The 21,517-nt window shown below is 49.0% G+C and overlaps 1 protein-coding gene across 9 annotated transcripts in view, besides 1 other annotated feature; it reads right to left on the bottom strand.

Annotated features, from left to right (window-relative positions):
• The window catches only part of SYT6 (synaptotagmin 6), a 64,578-nt gene that overhangs the window by 31,442 nt on the left and 11,619 nt on the right, over nt 1–21,517 (bottom strand). For 5 of the 9 annotated variants that reach the window (NM_001366225.1, NM_001366224.1, NM_001253772.2 and 2 more), the window contains exons 2-3: nt 18,882–19,230; nt 16,762–17,320 (exon numbers count right to left, since the gene is read on the bottom strand). In NM_001366225.1, coding sequence (NP_001353154.1) covers nt 16,762–17,320; nt 18,882–19,230 — 908 coding nt within the window. The remainder of the gene's footprint in view (nt 1–16,761; nt 17,321–18,881; nt 19,231–21,517) is intronic. The other 4 variants (NM_001366226.1, NM_001270805.2, XM_024453337.2 and 1 more) reach the window with 1 other exon arrangement.
• Nucleotides 3,666–4,453: an enhancer, noted in NCBI's record as "H3K4me1 hESC enhancer chr1:114667021-114667808 (GRCh37/hg19 assembly coordinates)". NCBI's record gives its function as "activates a minimal SCP1, AML or CMV promoter by ChIP-STARR-seq in primed H9 embryonic stem cells {active_cell/tissue: H9 hESC(primed)}" and the evidence as "EXISTENCE:reporter gene assay evidence [ECO:0000049][PMID:30033119]".

The following is a 21,517-nucleotide window of genomic DNA, read 5'->3' on the forward strand; positions in this document are numbered from 1 at the left end:
AATTCAACAGTGGTATATAAAGGCAAGGTGACTTGTTACCAATATTGTTGTTATTAGTAACAAGATGGGGTCCCTGCCCCTGGGGCACCTGCACTCAGGGATTGGTAAAGAGGGTGTGGCTGGCTAGGACCCCCTCCTACGTCACTGGAAAGACACCCAGGGTTGTGTGGCTTGAAGGAGCTGCTGATGCTGCCCTGGCTGGAGAACAGAGCTGCATCAAACCTCACGCTGTCCGTGCCTAGAGGCAGGGCCTTCATTGAAGCTGTCCCTACCGCCCTGCCCACTGGGCAGCTAACTGGCCAGAGAGGGACAGGCGATGTCTCCATAGCCACCAAGGCCCCCAGGGGGAGGTTGGCAGTCCCTGTGAGGTTGTAGGACTCTCCAGAGAGTCTTCTGGGATCTCAACCTCATCATCTGAGAAGACCATGGCCCCTCCTACTCCTAACATCTCAGAATGCTCAGGGACTTGCTGATATGAGATGGGCAGTGGCCTTGGTCTTTGGTGAGAAGGCTGGCTTGGGGCCTGCCAGATCTTCAGGCCTGTCCTCACTATCCCTCCTTGGAGCCTTGGCCCTGCACACCTCGCACTCTCCTCCCTCCTGTTCTTCACTCCACATCTTCCCTTCTTTCCAGCATTCCTCCAAAATGCCTTAATCCTGAACATTTGCAGGCCCAACCCAGCCAGTGCATCAACCCCTCACAGCCTCCATGGTAGTCCTCTCCCTTCACTGCATTCACATTGTTTTCTAAGCAACAGGAGGACCCTGGGGCTCATCGAAATGGGAGTTGCAGTATTCTTGGGAGAATGGGCTTATAGTGAAACGTATTTTTTGTGGCTTTCTGTATTTTCTAACTTATCTAAAATAAGAATGTAATACTTTACCTTGAGGCAAAGAAGGGTAAAATATATTAGTTATATAGTGTGTAAGGAAAATGATATCAGTTTTGGTTCTCTGCTCTATCATTTTAAAACTGTGTGACTTCAAGGAATTGCCTCAGTTTCCCCATCTATAAAATGGAAATACTGATATCTTCCTATATTGAGGTTAAATGAGAACACGTCTTTGGAAATTTACTTATAAACACATTAGTTATTGTTGTTGTTAGATTCAAGAGCAATAAACCATGGCAAGAACCTAGGAAGGCCCTTGTCTCATTGAAATTGTATTGCACCCTAGTCACAGCCCTGTGGTAGAGATTGTTGTCCACATTTGGCTAAGGGGGAAAGCGAGAGGTGAAGTGGTTTGACAGGCCACACAGTGGAGCCACCTTCAAGCCCCAGCCTCCTGACTCCAACTCTTGCTTACCTGCAGGCTCTTGGGGCCTGGAACCAAGTCTGCCGTTGGATCCGTGCCCCTTGCAGGGTCTCATGGATCCTGACTGACAGCGCAGAGCTGACTGCGTGGCCTTGAAGGTGCTGCACCATTATCAGGGCCTCAGCTTCCCTGTGAGTGAAATCTTTGTTCTCCCTTCTCAACACATGAGAGATGCAACCTGACATGGAAGTGGTTTGGGTTTTATTATAATCACACTTAAGGTTATTCCTAAGCGCATCATCTTCAGGCTGCAAGGTCTCCTCGAAATTCTTTTCCAAACAGAATTTCTTAGCGGAACCAAAAAATGTCCCTCTCTTGGGGACTGGAGTCCTCCAGGGGGAGGAGGGTTGACAGAAAGCCAATCAAACAAGATGGAACAGGAATGAGCACTTTGCTGCTTCCCTGGCGTGTGATGGACACAGCATGTACATTTGTGTGTGTGTGTGTGTGTGTGTGTGCGCGCACATGAGCATATGCACACACACACGTGGGGCTGCCTGGGGTCTGGCCAGACTCAGGGTGGGTGGCAGAGGGCTCTGCTGAGATTCTACTTCCCTATCTCTTGCAGGAGGCAGAGAGGAGCGCAGCCAGAGTTTCTCTGGTAAAAATTCTCCAAATAGGGTTGGGGGAATACTTTCCTAGGGAACACCCACTCCCTAAAAAGAGCTGGATGGCTGCCTGCACTTGGATAGGATTCACTAAAAACGCCCTTTCAGCAGGAGTTGGAGTTACAAAGGCCTTCACTGCCAGCCTTTCCCCCTGGCCTCTTTTTCTCCACAAACCTACCAAAAAGGCCCAGCAGCACCAAGAAAGGTTGGTTCTCAAAATTTTCCCCATCAAAGTCACCTTGAGCCCTAATCCCCTACTTTCAAAATGCCTGTCCGGGCCCTGCCCGCCCAGCACAGCTTGTCAGCATTAGAATCCTGACTCACACCTCCTTTTCTCCGGGGCCCGCGAGGCACTCTGAGCTTGGCTGTTCCGCGTGCCCTCCTTCCTGCCTTTTTGCTTCCAGCTGACTTTCAGCTAGTTCCTCTGATGTATTGATCCTGTGAGGGGCTGGGCAGGGCTCCCGGCAGTGTCTCACAGGGCCCTGCAGGAGTGACTCAGCTGGAGATGGCTCTGACAATGTGGAGGAGGCATTTTCAAGCAGGTGCCTCAAGTCACAAAGCTAGCCCTGTCCCCAACTTCTCAAGAAGGGAAATGCTTATCATGTTGTCATGACACACCACCAGAGCTGTTTTTTTCTCTCTGGAAGTTGGACTGTTCCTAGCACATGGTCCAATGTGTCACTACAGAGATGTGAGTCAACCAAAGGCTCGAGGAGGGATGGACTCACCCTGGGAAAGAGCCCCAGGCCAGTGCTGTTCCCATGCATGTGGGTGCAGGGGTGGCTCAAGGGGCTGTCCTCTCCCCTCTCCTTCTACAAAGCAGTGACCTCTTTTATTCAAACAAAGTGCAAAGCCTTTTGGGGGCAGCAGAGAGGAGCCCTGGAGAAGGCTGGCAGGTGGCCAGGGTGGCTGAAGCTGGACCCTCTGTCTCTCCCCCTGCACATTCTCCGTCTTTCCTTTTGGGTTTTCTTTCTGGTTCTAGGTGCTCCTTCATGTTCTGTCCCTGCATTCTCTTTAAAGCTCCAACTCAAGTGTAGACCCAACCCTGCTCCTGGTTCCCATCACATCCCTGAAAGAGCCTGGTAATATAAAAAAGAACTTCTTCAAATACTAAGGGTGAGCAAAAGGAAATAACCACAGACAAAGCAAACAACACTGCCTCAGGGTCTCCAGCCCCAGGTGGCCAGGACACTTGCACAGGCCCCTCCCCGGCTCTTTCCCTGGCAGCCCTCTGCCTGTCCCTGTGGAGTGGCATCCTCTGTTTTATGGACATTTACCTCTAACACTCTGTCTCTTTTCTGGCTGAGACCCCATCCGGCTGGGGCCTCCTTCTCATTTTGAATGGAAGGACTGGTTCATTCTCAGGAGACTTGCAGAACTGGGAGGGTTGAGATAGAAGTGGCTTCCCCCTTCCTATCTCAGGTGGCAACTCCACCCAAGCCCTAAGGAGGGGCCTCTCTCTGCATATATAGGAAAATGGCTTTACAAGCCCCACAGAAATGCCAATGGCCATAGCAATTCTTAGGAAACAGAGAAAGCAAATGCCATTTGAAACCACAAAAACCTTCTATGGAGGGTGGAGCCTGGTAAAGGCAATATAACAATCTTAGGGTCCCCACTGCTCCTGGAAATGATGGCCAGTTATTCAGTTAGAAATCTTGTTGGGTTTTAAATGTGAGAAGATGGGGCCGGAACTGAGCTACACCTGGGGATGGGGCTGGGGCTGGACAGAAGTCAGGCAATTTAAAGAGGGACGTGTGGTGGTGGTTTGGATTTGAGGCCTAGAACTTGTGGGGAAGGGAGAGGGAAGACGATAGAATGATGGGAGTGGTGGGGAGCTGGGGGCAGGTGCCCACCAGCAGTCTGCTGTGCCACTGGGAAGTGGCACTTTCCATCACAACAGACCTTCAGTTAAGTGCTGCTCCTCACTTTGTGTTGCTTGGAGTGTGGTGGAGCTAGACCCGTGTTCCATGACTGGGTCAATGAAGGAAGAGCCATCGGAGACCAAGAGGAGGATGACATTTCAGAAGAGGTGGAACGTTGGTGGCAGAAGGGACTATGATCATATATGCTCTCCCCAACCCAGGAAGAGGCAGGACGCATGGAGAGAGCCCCTGTTAGCCAGTTCCTGAGTGGCAACATGGGGGAGGGCTCGGAGCACATGCAACCGGCTGGCCCAGGTGGACTGCCGCTCACTGGCCTGGTGACCTTGAGCAGATTGCCTGAGTTGCTTCATCTGGAAACTGGGGATAACACCAGTACCTACCCTGCAAGGCAGGGGTGAGGAATGAATAAACAATGCACTTACAGCCTGGCACACAGGAGGCCAAGAAGCTCTGGTGGACACCCTGCTTAACGTGCAGTTGGAATTCTGCACATAAATTGTCATCTGAGGCCTGTTTTTGCACCCATTCCTGATCTCACCTCTGTTCCCTCCCACCTCAAGTGCATCAGACACAGGTTTTGTGAAGAAAACATAAAATATCTCCTAGGGAAACCCGACCCATGGTCGAGGATGTTGGTGAACTCCAAGTTGTGTCAAATCCAGACGATCAGCAGGGTAGGACTCTAAAATGACAGTCTTTTGAAGCAATTATTGGTGTTTTTCAGGCCATCAAGATGGAGGGCAATGCCAGCCTGTGCTGGCCAGACATGGATGAACATCTTGCTGTGGCTCATCCTGTCCCAGGGGCTGTCTCTCTAATTCCCTCATCCCAAGGCCAAGTGGACTTCATGGAAAGCTCTCTACTCAGATTTCAGTGCAGCCCTAGAGAGGCCCTCAAGGTCTCAGGGACTTTATCCAGAAAGGAAGATATTAAATATTCATGGAGAATGAGTAGGTGTCAATTCAGACATGAGAGGAAAATGTGGCTACAGTGGATGGCTGATGAGGATGAATGAGGGCCAGATGGGCTCGGGGTTGGCAGTGGCGTGGGGGCTGGAGGGAGGGGGAGGATGGCTGCTGTAGAGACCAAATTTTTCTGTGTTGCTGCTGACACTAAAACACCATAAACATATGATAGCAACTGGACAAGGCTGACCTATACTCTACAGCTCACCTTGTCTCCTTCCTCCTCTAAGGTAGAAATATTTATGTACCATGGGGAGATTTTGGGTGGGGGTTAATTGGCTCAGGATCAAAACACTTTGATAAACGGCCTCTTTTTTCCTTGGTTTTCCTGCTGATGTTGCTTGTTGGTTTGCCTATTTCTGGTCTTAGATCTTCCTTGCATGGAAAAGACTAACTTTTGGGAGAGGGGAGGGGGTCTTTGCTCTGTGCCCTTTGACATTTAATGCCTTTAACTCCAAATTCTGTCTTTCACCTCTTCCCTACAGTATAGAGAGGCTCACAGGCACAGGATGAAGGCAGTGAGTGGGCAGGGGCCTGGGAAGGAAAGAGTGAAAACAAGGCAAGAGAATTTCCTATAAAAACCCAGAGACTAGGAAGGGCATGGGCTGGGTCTCATGAGACCTGATTTGGAGCCCAGATTTGCATTGACTCCCAACCACCCCAAGCAAGGTGTGAGACTTCTTTGGTCTGAAATTGCTCATCTATGGCAGGAGGAGGTTGAGCCAGGTCATCTCCGAGGCTCTTTCTAGCTCTGACCACCCCCAAGTCCATGAAAATATGGAGTCATAACACCATGGTCCGCGGGAAAATGTGAAGTCCCTCAGGGACTGCTCCAATTCTCCCAAGTTGGTTGCTATTCTGGTCATAGTTACACCCCATGACCCTAGTCTCTCTGAATTGCTGCTGATCTAGGAAACTGCATTCCCTTCCTCCTGGATGAATCCTGGAGTTCAAAAGTCTGTGACAGTGCCCAGAGGGGATGTTTGGCTGTTGCTTTCCTTGCGACCAAATAGTCTCTCTCCAGGAGAAAATGTCACTGTGTGCTATTAGGTGGTGGAAGCACTAAGCAAGTGCATATGCTCTGGGAGCAAGGTGGGGGGAAGCAACGGGAAGTACATCTGTGTTGGAGAAATCGCTTTTTGTTGATGCATGAGCTTGTTGCCTAATGATTTCCCATTCATCCTCTTGTAAGGGAAAGATTAGATATTTATTCCATCCAAAGGCACAGCATACTAATGAGGGGCACATTTGGCCGGGGGCAGGTTCGGCTTGCCCACCAGCTCTGTGCTGAAGCAGGCTGCGAGCAGAGGGAGGGAGGGAAGACAGGGCTGCGGTCTGGTTGCCAGTGAGAGCCGTACCCTACAGGAAGCTGGCCTGAGTGGGCAATGGGGCTGTCTGGAGGCTAGGGAACTCATCAAGAGTGAAAGTGGAACTGTCTCCACTGTCTGGGCCTCTGGCAGCTTTGTAAGGCCATTTCTTCTGAAGCAGCAGAGAAGGATCTTTTGTGAAAGGCCAAGTTTAGAAACAACTTAAATAAGAACACCCAAGGCCAGCAGAGCTGAGTAGCTCTGCTTACTGCAGGTCAGAGCCCTGTCTGGACCATTAGCTTTGTTTTCCAGCATCACATGGGAAACCTTTAGCCCCCTGGAGCCAAGAACAGCTACAGGTCCTAATTTTGGCTCAAGTGAGAGTGTGTGGAAGGGTCACCTCTGCAGCAGGAACAGTTTGTGGACTTGGAGTCCTCACCTGTGGTGGAAGGGGCCTGCTGCTGCTCAGCTGTGGGAGTGTGTGACTTGACTCCTGGATTGACCATGGAGGCCCTAGTGAAGGCTGCCCGTGGGATGGAGGGTGGAACCCACACCTCTCCTCTTTCCTTTCTGGGTTCTTGGTGGATTTTCAGCAATCCTTCTCTAGAGGAGCCTTGGCCCCTTGGGCAGTCCCAGAAAAGTCAAGGTCCTGTTGGCTTTAGAACCTGGGGCTGGACACAGTGAGGCACATTCTCAGGATCTGAGCTTTGAGCATGGAGGGACCCCTCCCTGCACCCTCCAACCCCCAATTTCCTCCTAGTCACTATAGGACATGAGGTCTGAGGTTAGGGCTGCTGTTACTATTCTGGAGCAGGAAAAGCTGCTCCTTGCTTGATGTTCCCATCTGACCAAGAAATCCTTCCAGGGAGGCAACCAAGCTCTTCACCTCCTCCCCTCTTTGGTGAGAGGTACAAAGGAGAGGTCCCACCCATCTCTGCATTGGCAGGAGTGGAAGGAATAAACTGTGAGTAGGATGCACTGGACATTTCCAGCGATTGGCCCAAGGGAGGGGGTGCCAGAGAATAACAAGGATGATGAGACCAGGCCCAGGGGAGCATGGGGGCAAATGAACATCCAGCAAAGACAACCGGGGAGCTGCACAGCTCCCGTTGAGCAGCAAACACACAAGGGAGCCTTGCAGCCCTACCAAGGACCCGGTGGCTTCTGACTCAGGTGGGTGGGGGCCAGGCAGCTGGGAGGGCCACTGCTGGGCTCACTTGGACTGCTCAAAGAGGGCCACAGGACTGGCCATCTTCATGCATTATTCAGAGTGCTCCGGCTGCATGGTTTGGCCTGGGGAGCAGTCTTCATGGGTTTGGGCAGGCCACCCAGGCCCCCAGACTCAGGCACACCTTTACACCCACTGGGGCTTCCGTGTAACCCTGATTTGCCCTGCTGGCCTCTTTCAGAAAACTCTCCCTCTCTGCTTCCATCCTGGCTTGGACCTGCATGCGGGAGTCCAGACACTTGGGAATTTAAGGCAGAATACTAGGGATACTGAGCCTTTCTGCAAATTTCTGATGGAAAGGGTAGTCTTGGCCTGAATTGCTCTGAGTTGCTCTCAGTCAGGGCTGCTCACTCTACCTCCCTGTCCCAGCCCCAACTTTTCCCTAAGCTATGGCCCATATATGGAACCAGCCTCTTGGCATACTGCCAAACCAACCCTCCTAGACCTTTAAAAACCCATTTCAAGAGTTGCACCCTCCAGAAAATTCCCCCAGAATAACACGGCCCGTGTCCCCGTTCCACAGTTGATCTTCCCCACTCGGGTTCCACCAAAGCGGCCCTTGTCAAGGCCGATGATAAGCTCCTTGATGCTGAACAAACTGGCCAGTTCTCAGTCTGCATCTTACTTGATTGGTCATAGCATCTAATACAGCTGAGCCTTACCCCCATCCTCTGGAAACACTTCCTTTGTTTCCTGAGACACTGTACCCTCCTGGCTTTCCTCTTTTCCCTGCTGTTAGTCTCCTTTGCTGGGTTTTCTTCATAGCCCCACATAAATTGTTAGAGTACCTCATGGTTAAATCCTGTTCCTTTCCTCTTTTCTATCTAAACTTATTCCACTGGGATCTCAATTAGTTTCATGCCTCTTGACACCATTTATATGCCGACATCTCCAAAATCTGTTTCTTTAGCCAAGACCTCACTCCTGGACTCCAGACTTTATATCCAGCTTCCTATGTAGCATCGCCACTTGGATGTCCAAAAGGTATCTCAAATATGACATGTCCAAATCTGAGCTCCTAATCTTCCTCCCCATATGGGTTCTTCCTCCAAGATTTCCCAACTCAGCATCCCAAGTTGCTCGGACTGAAAATCTTGATTCTTCTCTTTCTCTACACCTTAGACCCTCCACCCAGTCTGTCATCAAATACTGCTGGCTGTGCTTTCAAAATATATTCAGAGACTAGCCACATCTTACATATCTACCACCATATTTGTTCAACCTATTTTCATCTCTTTTTTAAGACAATCACATCCCCACTGACTTCCTGCCTTTCCTCTGACTGTGTACAGTAGTCTAGTCCCCGCCCATCAGCTGCAGTGATCCTTTTAAACTTTTGGTTGTGGAACCATATTAACCTCTCCCGCCTCTTACCTCTCCCGCCTCTTACCTCTCCCACTTCATCTTTCACTCTTTCCCCTCCCCAGCCCTGTTTCTGCTTCTGCCACACTCACTGGTCCTCTTGCTGTTCTTTGTTTTTCTCTTTCTTTCTTTCTTTTTTTTCTGTCTTTTTTTCTTTCTTTTCTTTCTTTCTTTCTTTCTTTCTTTCTTTCTTTCTTTCTTTCTTTCTTTCCTTTCTTTCTTTCTTTCTTTCTTTCTCTTTCTTTCTTTTTCTTTCTTTCTTTCTTTCTTTTTCTTTCTTTCTTGACAGAGTCTTGCTCTGTTGGCCAGTCTGATGGATCACAGTGCAGTGGTGTAATCATGGCTCACTGCAGCCTTGATCTCCCAGGCTCAAGCGATTGTCCCACCTCAGCCTCTGAGTTGCTGGGATTACAGGCATGCACCACCACACCTGTTTTTTTTTTTTTTTTTTAATTTTTTGTAGAGACGAGGTCTCCTTGTTTTGCCAGGGGCTGGTCTCAAAATCCTGGCCTCACATAATCCTCCTGCCTCGGCCTCCCGAAGTGCTAGGAGTACAGGAGTGAGCCACTGTGCCTGGCCTCTTTCCTGTTCTTTGATCATGCCAGATGCCATCCCACTGCAGGGTCTTTTCTCTCTGCCTGGACCTCTCTTCCTGCAAATATCTGCAGGGTTCTCTCCCATATTTCAGGTCTACTCAAAGGGCACCCTCTCAGGGAGGTCTCCCCTGCCCACCCTGTTTTGCCCTGCTGTCCTCCCTTCAACCCACCCTCCCCAACCCAACTTTCCTATCACATTTCCCTGCTTCATCTTCTCCATGCCATTTATGACTCTCAGACATACTATTTATCTTAGTCATTTGCCTTCTTCCACTAGAGCATAAGCTCCACAAGAGCAGGGACTTTGTTGACTGCTGCATCCTCAGCATCTAGGACCATGCTTGGCACTTAGCAGATGCTCAAACAGGTCATTGCTGAATGAATAATTCCCGAGTGATTCCTCCTTTGACTTCCTCTTTTTCCTTTCTCTTGATCTCCTCCTGCTAGGTGCTCTTTGCTGCCTGACCCTCTTTCTCCTTCATCCTGGCTGTGGGCGTTCCCCAAAGCTCGGTTCTTGTTCCTGAATTCTCCTTCTGCCATCTGTATCCCTCATCCCACTCACTCACTCTCCTCGCTTCAATACTCACCTCCATCTCCCCTTTTTCCTTTTAATGTAATGTAAATAATTGTGTTCCTTTCATTAGCTTTTTACTTGCTCTGAAACCTCTGTTCAACTGTGAGTTCCTTGAAAGCAAGGACTATGTTTGCCCCTTCAATACCCAGTTAGTTGTTCTAGGACCCAAGTATGTTCTTTGAGGGCTCGTTGAAGACCTGCTTAGTGGATGAAGATTCAATATGCTTACCTCTTACTCCTGCCCAGGACAGACCTAGAAACCTGAGATCCAAGATGGACACTTCGAAGGCGTTGTCTCAAACTGCTAGTCAATGAGGCTTTGGGAGGCTTCACCCCCGGGTGATTTAATGAGTCACAGTGGATCAATTAGCTGATTCTTTGGCTCTACTTGAAAAAGCCTTTTGTGGCCACTCTGGGATCTCATTCGACTTGAGTGTGTGGGCGTGAGAAGAGGATGCAACTGAAATTTTTTTCAAGCAAGCAAGCAATTTCATTTCAGGAGGCCTGCCTTCCCCCAACATGCTGGGCCAGTGAGGGACCTGCATGTCCCCAAGACAGCAGAACTGGTTTCCTGCCTCCCCCATCAGACTGCGAGGTCTTGAGGGCAGGACTGGAGTTGAAGTCATATTCCCAGCCTGGTGCCTGGTACATAGTAATTACTCTGCAAGTAGTTATTATACAAAGAAAAGAAACCCAATCTTATGTGAGAGAAAATCTCTCTAGATCCTTCCCCAAGTCCAAAGAGAACAGAGGAACATACTCGCCCTCCTCTGACTTCCTCTTTTATCATGCTCTGTCCTTCACTGTCATCAACATAGCCTGGCCTAAAACTTTTCTTTTCTAGAAGCAGCTTTTCTAGAGCAATCTCATCTGACTCTGATTTCTTTTCTTCATGTCTCCTAACACTTCTGCACATCTCTTGCAGTGCAGCAGCTTGCATAATTGTGTTGTAAGCATCCTGAACTGGTCTGTCCCCAGGTGTGTGCCTTGTGTATGAGGGGCTTGGGGACTTGGGGGCACAGGGCATCCCCTACAGTCCTTGTCAGCCTGGGCACCCTGATATGGAGGGCTCTTGCTTTACCTTCCTTTCCATAGCCCAGCCCATGGCTCTGCATTCAACAAGTGCCCAATGATGCACTGACCGGCACATAGTCAGCATTCAATGAATAGCTATTAAACTAAAAAGAAACAATGTCAAACCCACTGCTCACAGAAAGGAAATGGGGGAAAGGGTAAAGGAATCCAATGTCAGCACCAAACCCACTCCCAGAAATGACCAGATTTTGAGATGAGTGAGAGAACCTAACAAGTCCACAAAGAAAAAACAGAACAAAACACTCTTCTGGATCCCCTGATGAGCTGCACAATTTCAGTGTTTATTTTCTGTCCCAAGAAACAATGTAACCATGCTTCCCTCTGGCGGTGCAAGGATCATGAGTTCAAATCTTGGCTTTATTATTTCTGTTTGGGTGACAATGGGTAAGTCACCTAACCTCAAACCTTCGTTTGTTTATTTACATATGGGGGATGACCATAAGTGTTGTGGTGAGGATGAAACATGGCAAAGCAGGTTGTGCCCTTGGCAGCTAGCAGGAGCTCAATAAGTAATGACCAGCGCATCCCAGTAAATGGGGATCAGAAAGGAGATGGAAGGGAGGGAGCTGAGTGCCAGCATAGGAATGTGGCTCATGGGAAAAAGAGGAGGAAGGGTTGTTGATGGGGCCTCCCCTGTGGCAGAAACCTCCTAGAGGACATTCCCCACGGGCTTGAAGAGAGGCCTGACTCTTTGATATTTAAGGAAAGAGTGGGGATGTCTGGAAATTCTGCCCAGTGGCTTATCACTGTGGGGTTTCGGCCTCTGCTGTGGAGACCACACTCCCGGAGAATGGGTAGCTCTGTTCTGTGAAAGCATGAGAGCCAAGAACTTCTCCATGGGAGAAGCTGAGAATTACAGGATTCTAGAGATGGTTTAATACTGAGGAAAATGCAGCCCAGAGATGGAAAGTCACTTTTTCAAGGTCACACAGAAAACACATGGCATAGCCAAGACAAGAAATAAAAAATGAATAATAATGTCCAACAACCAGTCAGAACAGATGACCTGGACTGAAGGGGAAGGTCAGGCCTGGGAGTGGTACAGAAGTGACACATGGGCTAAGCCAGCAGGAAGGGCACCAGAGGAATAGGGCTCAGCAAGCTGCTCTGTGACAGTGCTGTCCTGGGTGGCTGTGTACTCTGTTTCATTTACTACATATAATAACAATAGGACTAGAAGCCATTATTAATCCCCATCTTGCTGATGTCAAACCTGAGGCACAGTTTAGATAATGTCCCAAGGTTTTAAAGCTAGAAAGTAAGGAAGCTAGAATGCAATTCAGGTTGGGTTGACAATAAAGCCTGCACTCCTTCTGCACAACTCTGCTCATTTCCAAGCCAGAGGCTATTCTACCATTTAAGGCCTCCCTTCCTCCCTGCATACCCTCAGTCCAGGCTCTCTGGAAGTATATGGAACACTTCATCACCCCTAAAACACACACACACACAAATGCATGCCCACGCACATACACATGCATGCACACACACACTCTATCCTAGTCCAAAAACAACACACATGCACACACACACACGCATACTCTAAACTAGTAGGGACCTGGTAAGGCAGGAAGATGGCCGAATCCATTAGCATTACCAAGCACAGCACATATTTATGGCCCCAGTTACAGCCTTTGTCTCCTGCCACAGTGAAGGAGAGGGAATAGCGACAGGAATAGTTGTGTGCGGTGGGGTCTGAGTCCTCTGTAGCAATAACTACAAGATTAGAGATGTTAGCAAACCCGGGTGACGGCAGCTCTATTATAATGATAAATCTACAGCTTTATTTAGAAATAATGAGACTGGGGGCAGAAGATGCTAGGAGGGAAGAGCATGGTGATCTTAGCCAATTGAAGCTCTGGTTGGAGAGACAGTGGCAAACCTCTGGGAATGCCCAGGAGACTATCAGGGGCCCTTGGGCAAGCCAGGCAGAAGGAGAGATGGGGGAAACAGCAGGGCAGTGCTTCCCAGGGCTGGAATGGGTGCAGTGAACTCCCAAAATTTCCATCCTAGGCCTGAGTTTCTTAATTCCATGCAATGCACGAGGCCTCCGACTGCCCTGCAGGCCCGGTTTGCTCTGGCTCTCCAGCCAGTGGGGCATGTTAGCTGCTGTGCTGCCCAGACTTCCCTCTGGAACAATCTGGGCTGGGGAGGTGAGTGTCCCTTGAGGCTTAAGATTTGCAATTAACAAAGAGCTAGACTCCTCGGATGTGTACCTCCCCTCCACTAGCCTTGAGCTCAGGGTTCTGTGGCTGTGAGAAAACAATGCAAATGTTTCAGGCTTTGGTACTTCAAGTCAAGCACCAGGGTGGGGGTGGGAACAAGGGACCTGCCTGGTGCCACCTGCCAGGGCCGAATCCGACTCTCCTGCACAAACTCAAGGAGCAACACAGGCAGCATTCACATCACTTTGGTGAGCACAGAGCAACCTCCAAGTCCCCTTTCTCACGGTGCCTTTCCTTCTGCTCAGCATGCGGGTCACAGGCTCTCTGCTTTGGTCCAGACTACCTGATCGGGCTGGTTACCCCAGACACAAACCATCCCATTCACCTCTGAACACATGCACAGGCTGGGTCTCTCCCCACCAAGCCTGGCTCTAAGCCATTTTCTAAATACTACTTGAGCTGCTTCTCCTCCAAGAAGCCTTCCCAGGTTAACCCCATTCAATTCCAACTGCTTCTTTAATAGTCTTTTCCTTGGGTACCCATATATAGTTTTAATTGAATTAAGTAAGCCACTGGTCATTTAACAAGAAAGTACTGGGTTCTTACACTCAGCCCTGAGGGAAAATACAAGAGAAAGTCAAATGTGGGTCACAAGCCATTCCTGAGCCATTGGGAGGACTTTACAAGATAGAATATGACTCAGGATATAACTCGGGGATACAGAGAACACACGGGAGAGGCAGCTGCTGTGAGACCAGGAGGCCACATGGAGGATGACGGCAGGTAGGCTCTGAAAGGTGGATTGGTTTGCACCAGGCAGAGAGGTGGGAACAGATCTGCCTGACATGGAGAACCTTGTTGGCAAAGGCAAGAGGCAGAAATGTCAGGTGTTTTTCAGAAGCTGCCAGATTCCTGAGCTCAGGTCCAAAGGGCAGCTCTGGGAATGGAATCAGACACATGGGAGAGATGGGAGCTGGCTGTTGGCTGCGCTCATCTCATCAGTACTGTCCCCCATTGTGCTGGTATGGGAATTCATATATGCTTAGTGCTCTGTCATTCCTGGTGACTGTGATGACTTGGGTCTCCTTGGCCCCCAAATAATTAAAATTTGACAGCACCACATATAGGTACAAGCATCAGCCTTCTCGCACCTCTTCCCCCTCTTTTGCTTGAGTCCTTACCTGGCAGGGTGATGAGCCTGCTCCTGAGAACTCTACCTGCTGGTGGGGCTGTGGGTTGGAGGGTGGCAGGGGACTCACTTGAGAAGGAACATCCAGCTCAGACAGACGGTAAGACAGGCTGTCTGAGCATGGGTGGGGCTCTGCAGCTTGGGAAACTCCTGCACCTGGACTCCCTCTGCAACTGGCTGGAATGCTCCCCCTTCCTCTTGTCCTGTCGAGTTATTTATAACTGTCCTTCCCCACCTGATTTAGTTCTCCTCATCAAGGAGACCTTCACCAGCTGTCCTAACTCTAAGGATCCTGCAACCATACCCAGAGGATCGTATTTGCTGCTTTGCACTACCAGCTACTGCATGGACTTTTCCTGTCTCTGTAATTACATGACAAGTTTCTGTGGGTCAAAGAAGCTGTTTTCTACCCCAGCCCCACCCTCAACCCCATGCCTGGCACAGTGTTCTTAGGAGGAGGAGATGGAGGAGGGCTATAATGATACTAGTTGAGGATGATGAGGATGATGGTGATTTGTCCTATGCTCTTTGGTTGATCTGCCCTTTTCAGAAGCCAGGTGGGGGAAGTGGGGATGGGACAAGGGCAGGACAGCCACGGGGTTCTTGGATATGGAAAGGTGCATCCAGGTGAGGAGTGTGCTTGGGCACAGACTGCCTGCCCCAGGCATGAGGCTTCCATTCATGCCTGGAGCCAAAGACACCAGATGGTGGGCTCTGGCAAGGAGCAAAGGAGGCTCCTAGAAGGGCTGGGCTGAGCTCTGCTTCCTGCAGCCCCTGGCCCTCACCCCTCTCCCTGGGTGGCAACCTCACTGTGAGGAGGACTGAGCTGCTTTTCTCTACCTGTCCAGTTACCATAATGAAGCCACAGCCTAAGGAGACCACAGGGAAGAGCTGCACCAAATGTAAACTTCAGAGTGATTTATGGAGTGGAGCGCTCGGGCCTGGGGCTGCCACAGAGCTGCTGTTCCAATCCGCCCTGTCTGCTCGCCCCGTCTGCCTGCTGGCCAGCCGGCTACTTATGTTCTTCTTAGGGATGACATTTCAGGAAAGCAAAGGTGGGGGAGGTACTGAGCCATTGGGCTGGACTGGTCAAAGTCAGCACAAGCTATGAGAATGGCGTGTCCCCCAGACCCTTCCTGGGGTGTAAGCAGAGCCCACTAAGCTTTCTCTCTTTGAACAAAACAAGATTTATGCCCTTTGCACACCAGAGCAGGGCTGATTTTCCCAGCCCCTCTCTTCACAGGCTCAACACAGAGATATTGAGTATTGACTATCCAAGCGGGAGTCTGCAGACAGAGTGGGGTTGCCCCTCCTCAGAGATATAGTGGAGGAAATATCCAGGTTGCCCCTCAACCTGTTAGCACTCAAGAGAGCAGATGCAAGGCCACTGGAGCTTGGAGGGAATGCCCCCACTGAGCTCTCAGCTGCCTGGGGGTGCTTAGAGAGAGGACACTAGCTATACCTGCAGGATGCAGCTACACAGCTTCCTCAACCCAGGGGACTGGAGCGAAGGGCTATGCCAGACCGAAGGGCTCCAGATGTGTCCTCTCCAGTTCTCTGTGCCAAACCTGTGCTCCCTTCTCTTAAAAGCCAACTTGAGCCCCAGCTCCTTGAAACCTTCCCTGATTAATTCCAGCTGGTTGCAAACAGCCCAGCACCCACCTCCTGTGTAGGTGTTAGTCAGGTCTCCTTTTGGGCTGGCCTCCCCCATCTCCCATACCTGACTGGGAAAACAATGCCCAAGCAAAGGGACTCTGCTGTGTGTCGTCATTCGTGCTGTTCATTACATATGTCCAGCTCTCCTTCTGGGCACTCGGTAGGATTACTTTGCCCCTTCTCCCTTGATATTAGGAGTTACCGCGTGTCTTGTTCTAATGGGAGTGGAAGTGACATGTGTCACTTCTGCGTGGAAGTTTTAATAAACAGTGCGTGATTTGCCACTTCCTCTTCCTCCTGATGTTTAACTGTGGGGGCCCGTGTCTAAATGCAGCCTCTGTTGGCTTGGGTCCCCAGGTAACAAGGTGGAGCAGAGTCCCCAGTCCAGCTGCAAAGCACATGAAACATGAACAAGGCATAAACTTTGGTTGTCTAAAGCCACAAAATCCTCGGACTGTTTGCTGCTGCAGCATAGCCTAGTTCAGTCTGATTGATATGGCCTGTTTCAATTGCCTATGCCAAGTTTCTAATGCACATCAGTACTCTCAGTAGAAAGAACCACCCCAGAACATGCAACCAGAAGCCACAGATAAAAATTCCCTTCCCTTCCTAGCTACATGGGGACTCTGCTCTCTGCCATCCCAACCTGGGGCAGAGTGCAAGGGTAGACTGGGCCACTGGGCAGTTTCCAGAGTCCCTCTTCACATCCCAAATGGCAAAGGCCCATTTGTCTCTAGGAAGTGAGGGTTTGGGGACATGTCCCACCCAACCCAGAACCACAAATCCTCAAGAAGCCAAGGAACAGGGCTGTACTTACACTTGTGGCATATTGGATATCCTTCCAGATGGAGGTTTCCCGAGACAGGTCAGAGGCCTCAAAGAGGTTGTCCAGGATGACCTCGCCAATCATGTCATGGCGGGAGAAGCGGTCAAAGTCGAAGACACTGAGATGCAGCTTGCGGTCAGCCAGCTCCTCATAGGGCACAGGGAAGTGGAAGTTCTCATCAAAGGTGGGGTTCAGGGTCTTGCGGTGCACCCGGGTCTGCAGCTTGCATTTGCGGTCAGGCAGGAGGTAGATCTTGACATAAGGGTCAGAGCTTCCACAAAAGTCCTTGGCAGGGAGGTCAAAAGCCTTCAGGATACGCACAATCAGGGTCTCGGTCTCGTAATCGTAGCGTAGGCTGAAGTTGATCTTCCCGCAGCTCTTGGTGGCCTCAGACTTGGCATCCTCCCCATCCACCGACTTCTGCTTGTAGAGCTCAGGCTTGATGCGGCCAATGCTGGTGGGCTGCTCTGCTGCTGGTGGAAGCTCATTGCCATAGTCTACACTGGAGACATGCATCTGCCTTGGCAGGTGGCGCTTGAAGGACGTGTGCCTGGTAGAGGGCAGGAGGGGGCAGAGGGAGTGTGGTCAGGGCTCAGGGGAAGGGGGATGAAGGCAAACACGAGCCTGGAGGCCCTGGCTCATCTTATCCCTTGTTGAGCCCCCTTTTCCTTCCTCTTCTTGACCCCACTTTTGCTCTGCATACACTTTGTGTGCAAGGTTGTGGTGAGCATTACATGTCTTAATATATGTAAAGTAGTTGGAATGGTGCCTGATATATAGTAAGCTCAATAAACTTTAGCCATTGTTATCATAATCACTTTTTCCTGCTTTTCTGTTACCTGCTTTCTAGGTTTACTTCCTAGTAGACATGACTCTGGTTTCCTTATTAAATCATGAGATTCCTTAAGAGAAGGACCATCCCTTCTTATCCTCAATGTGGCACCCACTTCATCACCATCATCACCATCACCATTTGTTAAGCATTTGCTATACGGCAGGCAGCAGAGTGGTAAAAGCATGGGCTTTGGAGTTAGCCTGCATAGGTTAATTTTGGCTCTGTCACTTTCTAGCTGAGATCTTGGGAAAGTTATTTAACCTCTCTGTGCCATAAAAACGAGGATAATAAAAGTAACAGCTGCATAGGATTGCTGTGAAATGAATTGATTACATATGAAGTGCTTAGAATAGAGCCAAGCATAATCATAAGCAATATATGTGTTAGCTCTCCTTATCAATCACATTGATTCTTCCATTGGCTCCTCACAACTGCCATATAAAAGTCATCAGCCTTATTTTACAGTTGGAAAAAGTGAGTCTAAGGGAAGGTGAGGAACTTGCCCAAGGCCATATGACAGACTGTCAGTGTGACCTCCCAGCATGTTCATTCCTGGCCTCCAGTCTGAAGACCAGGCCTCGTTCTCTTTTGTTGGTCCCCTGAGGGCCTGGAGAGCCGTTGCAGGGACCTAGGAGTCCATCAGAGCCCTAAGTTTTGAGTAAATACAATGCCTTACGCATGCTTGCACCACATCTTTTAAAAGTGCTTCTGAATTTAGGGTAGGTTTTTGTCGTTATGTTTTTCTTGTTGCTATTTTCAGTTAAAGGATGCTGTATGTATTTACAGTTGTTGTCATGCAGGGAACTCTGAAAGGCTTTAAAGGAATCCTGATTCTCAAACTATTAAGATTCCCTTGCCTTATCTGCCATGTACTGCAGACTGTAGCTATCAGGCTTTACTGACATATCCCTAAACACACCATGAACTCTTACATCTCTAGGCCTTTACTGTTCTCTTCCTTCTGCCTGAAGTCTTTCCTTCCAAACATCCAACACTCCCCTATTCCACTATTCCATTCCCCTCACACCCACACACACCCCAAGTGCAAACCACATATACAGCAACCCGCCTCAAAGGTTTCCCTTTCATGAAGTCTTTCCTGGTGCCCACCTCCTCATTGATCACCCATCATGGCTCACATCATCTGACATATTTGTCAATCAAAGGATATGTGTTATTATTTCTGGTCTGTGATCCCCACAGGCTGGAATCCCATAGATGTATTAAGGGAGTGTGGAGGTGTGGGGGTCAGGGAAGGGAGTGGTCCACTCCTCACCTGGTGGATGACGCTGGCTCTGTAGTTTGCCGCTGCAGCCGGGTGTGACGCATGATGTGCTCCTTGACCGACATCTGCACCTCAGCTGGGATATCTGGGGACGTGTGGCTGATCTTCACGGCCGCCTCCAGGAAGCCCAGGGTGCTGGGGTCCTTCAGCTTGTCCGCCATGTTGCCTCTGAAGCTGGGGCTCTGGAGGGCTTCCAAGGGGGGATTAGCAGAAGAGGGACTGGAGGCCTCCTTGTTCCTCCAGGGCATCCAGCACAGCTTCCAAAAGAGAAAGAGAAAAACTGCCACCAGGGCCACGCCACACACAATAACTACAACTGCGAGGAGGCTGACAGAGGTGCCTGCCCTCGGCATGAGCCAGGCAGGGAGGGACAGACAGACAGAGGCGGGGAGAAGCGGGTGAGGGTGTTGGAGGAGGGGGCACACGGAAGGGACAAAGACGGAAGAAGAGAGAAGAATGGTCATGAGAAAGCTGCCAGGTCAGAGGGAGAGGTGGTTTCAGGGTTGACTCTTGATTGTCCACTTGGTGGAGTATGTACAGCCTTGTGTTCACCTCAATCTGATTCTTCCAGCATCATCCTCTCTCCCGCCCCCACCCCTATCCCCCCAGCCAGCTTGGGGAGCACCTGGGCTGTCCTCTCTACTGGCTATTGGCACGTGCACAGGGAAATGAAAATAATTTAAATAGCAGCCTAAGCAAATGTGCAAATTTGTGAAGGATTCATGTTGAGATGCTGTTTGAATTTCTATTAAAGCTGCTACTATGGCCAGACTTAGAGTCATTTTTGTCTACAGCCCACTTCCTTAACAGGGTGTGATACCTTGGGGGGCAGAGGCTGGCTAACTCATCCTCTTTTCTTCTTTATCCCATCCCCACTGAGCCCAAGACAGGAACTCAATAAACATTGAGTTGACTTCAAGTGAATGAGATTGAGCATAATCTCTTTAAGGGCAAGGATTATGTTCTTCTGTACTCCCAGAACTCTGTGCATAGTAGGCTCAATAAATACTTCTATTAAGTTGGAATCTGATCTACACAGTGCACTTCAAAGCTAAATAGAGGCACACTTCATTTTGCTATGCTTCACTTTATTGTGCTTCACAGATCCTGTATTTTTTACAAATTGAAGATTTGTGGCCACCCTGCCTTGAACAAGTCTTTCTGTGCCAGTTTTCCAACAGCATGTGCACATTTTGTGTCTGTCACGTTTTGTTAATTCTCACATTATTTCAAACTTTTAAATTACTATTATGGTTGTTATGGTGATCTATGATCTGTGATCAGTGATCTTGGATATTCCTATCGTCATTGTTTTGAGGCGTCCTGAGCTGCATCCATGTAAGATGGCCAACCTAATTGATAAATGTTGTGTGTGTTCTGGCTGCTCCCCTGGCTGGCCATTCCTCTCCTTAGGCCTCTCTATTTGCTGAGGCACAACAATATTGAAATTAGGCCAATTGATAACCTTACTTTGACTTCTAAGTGTTCAGGTCAAAGAAAGTGTCACATGACTCTCATTTTAAATCAAAAGCTAGAAATAATGAAGCTTAGTGAGGATGGCATATCAAAAGCCAAGACAGGCCAAAAGCGAGGCATTTTGTGCCTCACAGCCAAGTTGTGAATGCAAAGAAAAAGATCTTAAAGGAAATCAGAAGTGTTACTCCAGCAAACACACAAATGATAAGAAAGCAAAACAGTCTTATTGCTGATGTGAAGAGAGCTTTAGTGGTCTGGACAGAAGATCAAACCAGCCCCAACATTCTCTTAAGCCAAAGCCTAATCCAGAGCAAGACAGTACCTTTCTTTCATTCTATGAAGACTGAAAAAGGAGAGGAAGCTGCAGAAGAAACGTTTGAATCTAGCAGAGGTTGGTTCTTGAGGTTTAAGGAAAGAAGTCCTCTCCATAATGCAAAAGTTCAAAGATGAAGCAGCAAGTGCTGATGTAGAAACTGCAGTAAGTGATTCAGAAGATCTAACTAAGATAATTGATGAAGGTGACTACACTAAACAACACATTTTCAGAGTAGAAGAAATAGCCTTATATTGGAAGAAGATGCCACCTAGGGCTTTCATAGCTAGAAAGGGGAAGTCAATGCCTGGCTTCAAAATTTCAAAGGACAGGCTGACTCTCTTTTTAGGGGCTAACACAGCTGATGACTTTAAGATGAACCCAGTGCTTATTTACCATTCCAAAAATCCTACGGCCCTTAAGAATTATGCTCAATCTACTCTGCCTATGCTCTAAAAATGGAAAAACAAAACCTGGATAATAGCATATCTGTTTAAGAATGGTTTACTGAATATTTTAAGCCCACTGTTGAGACTTACTGCTCAGAAGAAATGATTCCTTTCAAAATATTACTGCTCATTGACTATGCACCTAGTCACCCAAAGGCTCTGATGCAGATGTACAAGGAGATAAATGTTGTTTTCATGCCAGCTAAAACAACGTCCATTCTGCAGCCCATGGATCAAGGAGTAATTTCAACTTTCAAATCTTAGGCTTTAGCTGTCATAGACAGTGATTCCTCTGATGGATCTGGGCAAAGTAAATTGAAAACTGTCTGAATAGGATTCACCATTCTTGATGCCATTAAGAACATTCATAATTCAGGGGAAAAGGTCAA

Source organism: Homo sapiens, chromosome 1 (assembly GCF_000001405.40).
Source record: "Homo sapiens chromosome 1, GRCh38.p14 Primary Assembly".
Taxonomy (NCBI): Eukaryota; Metazoa; Chordata; class Mammalia; order Primates; family Hominidae; genus Homo; species Homo sapiens.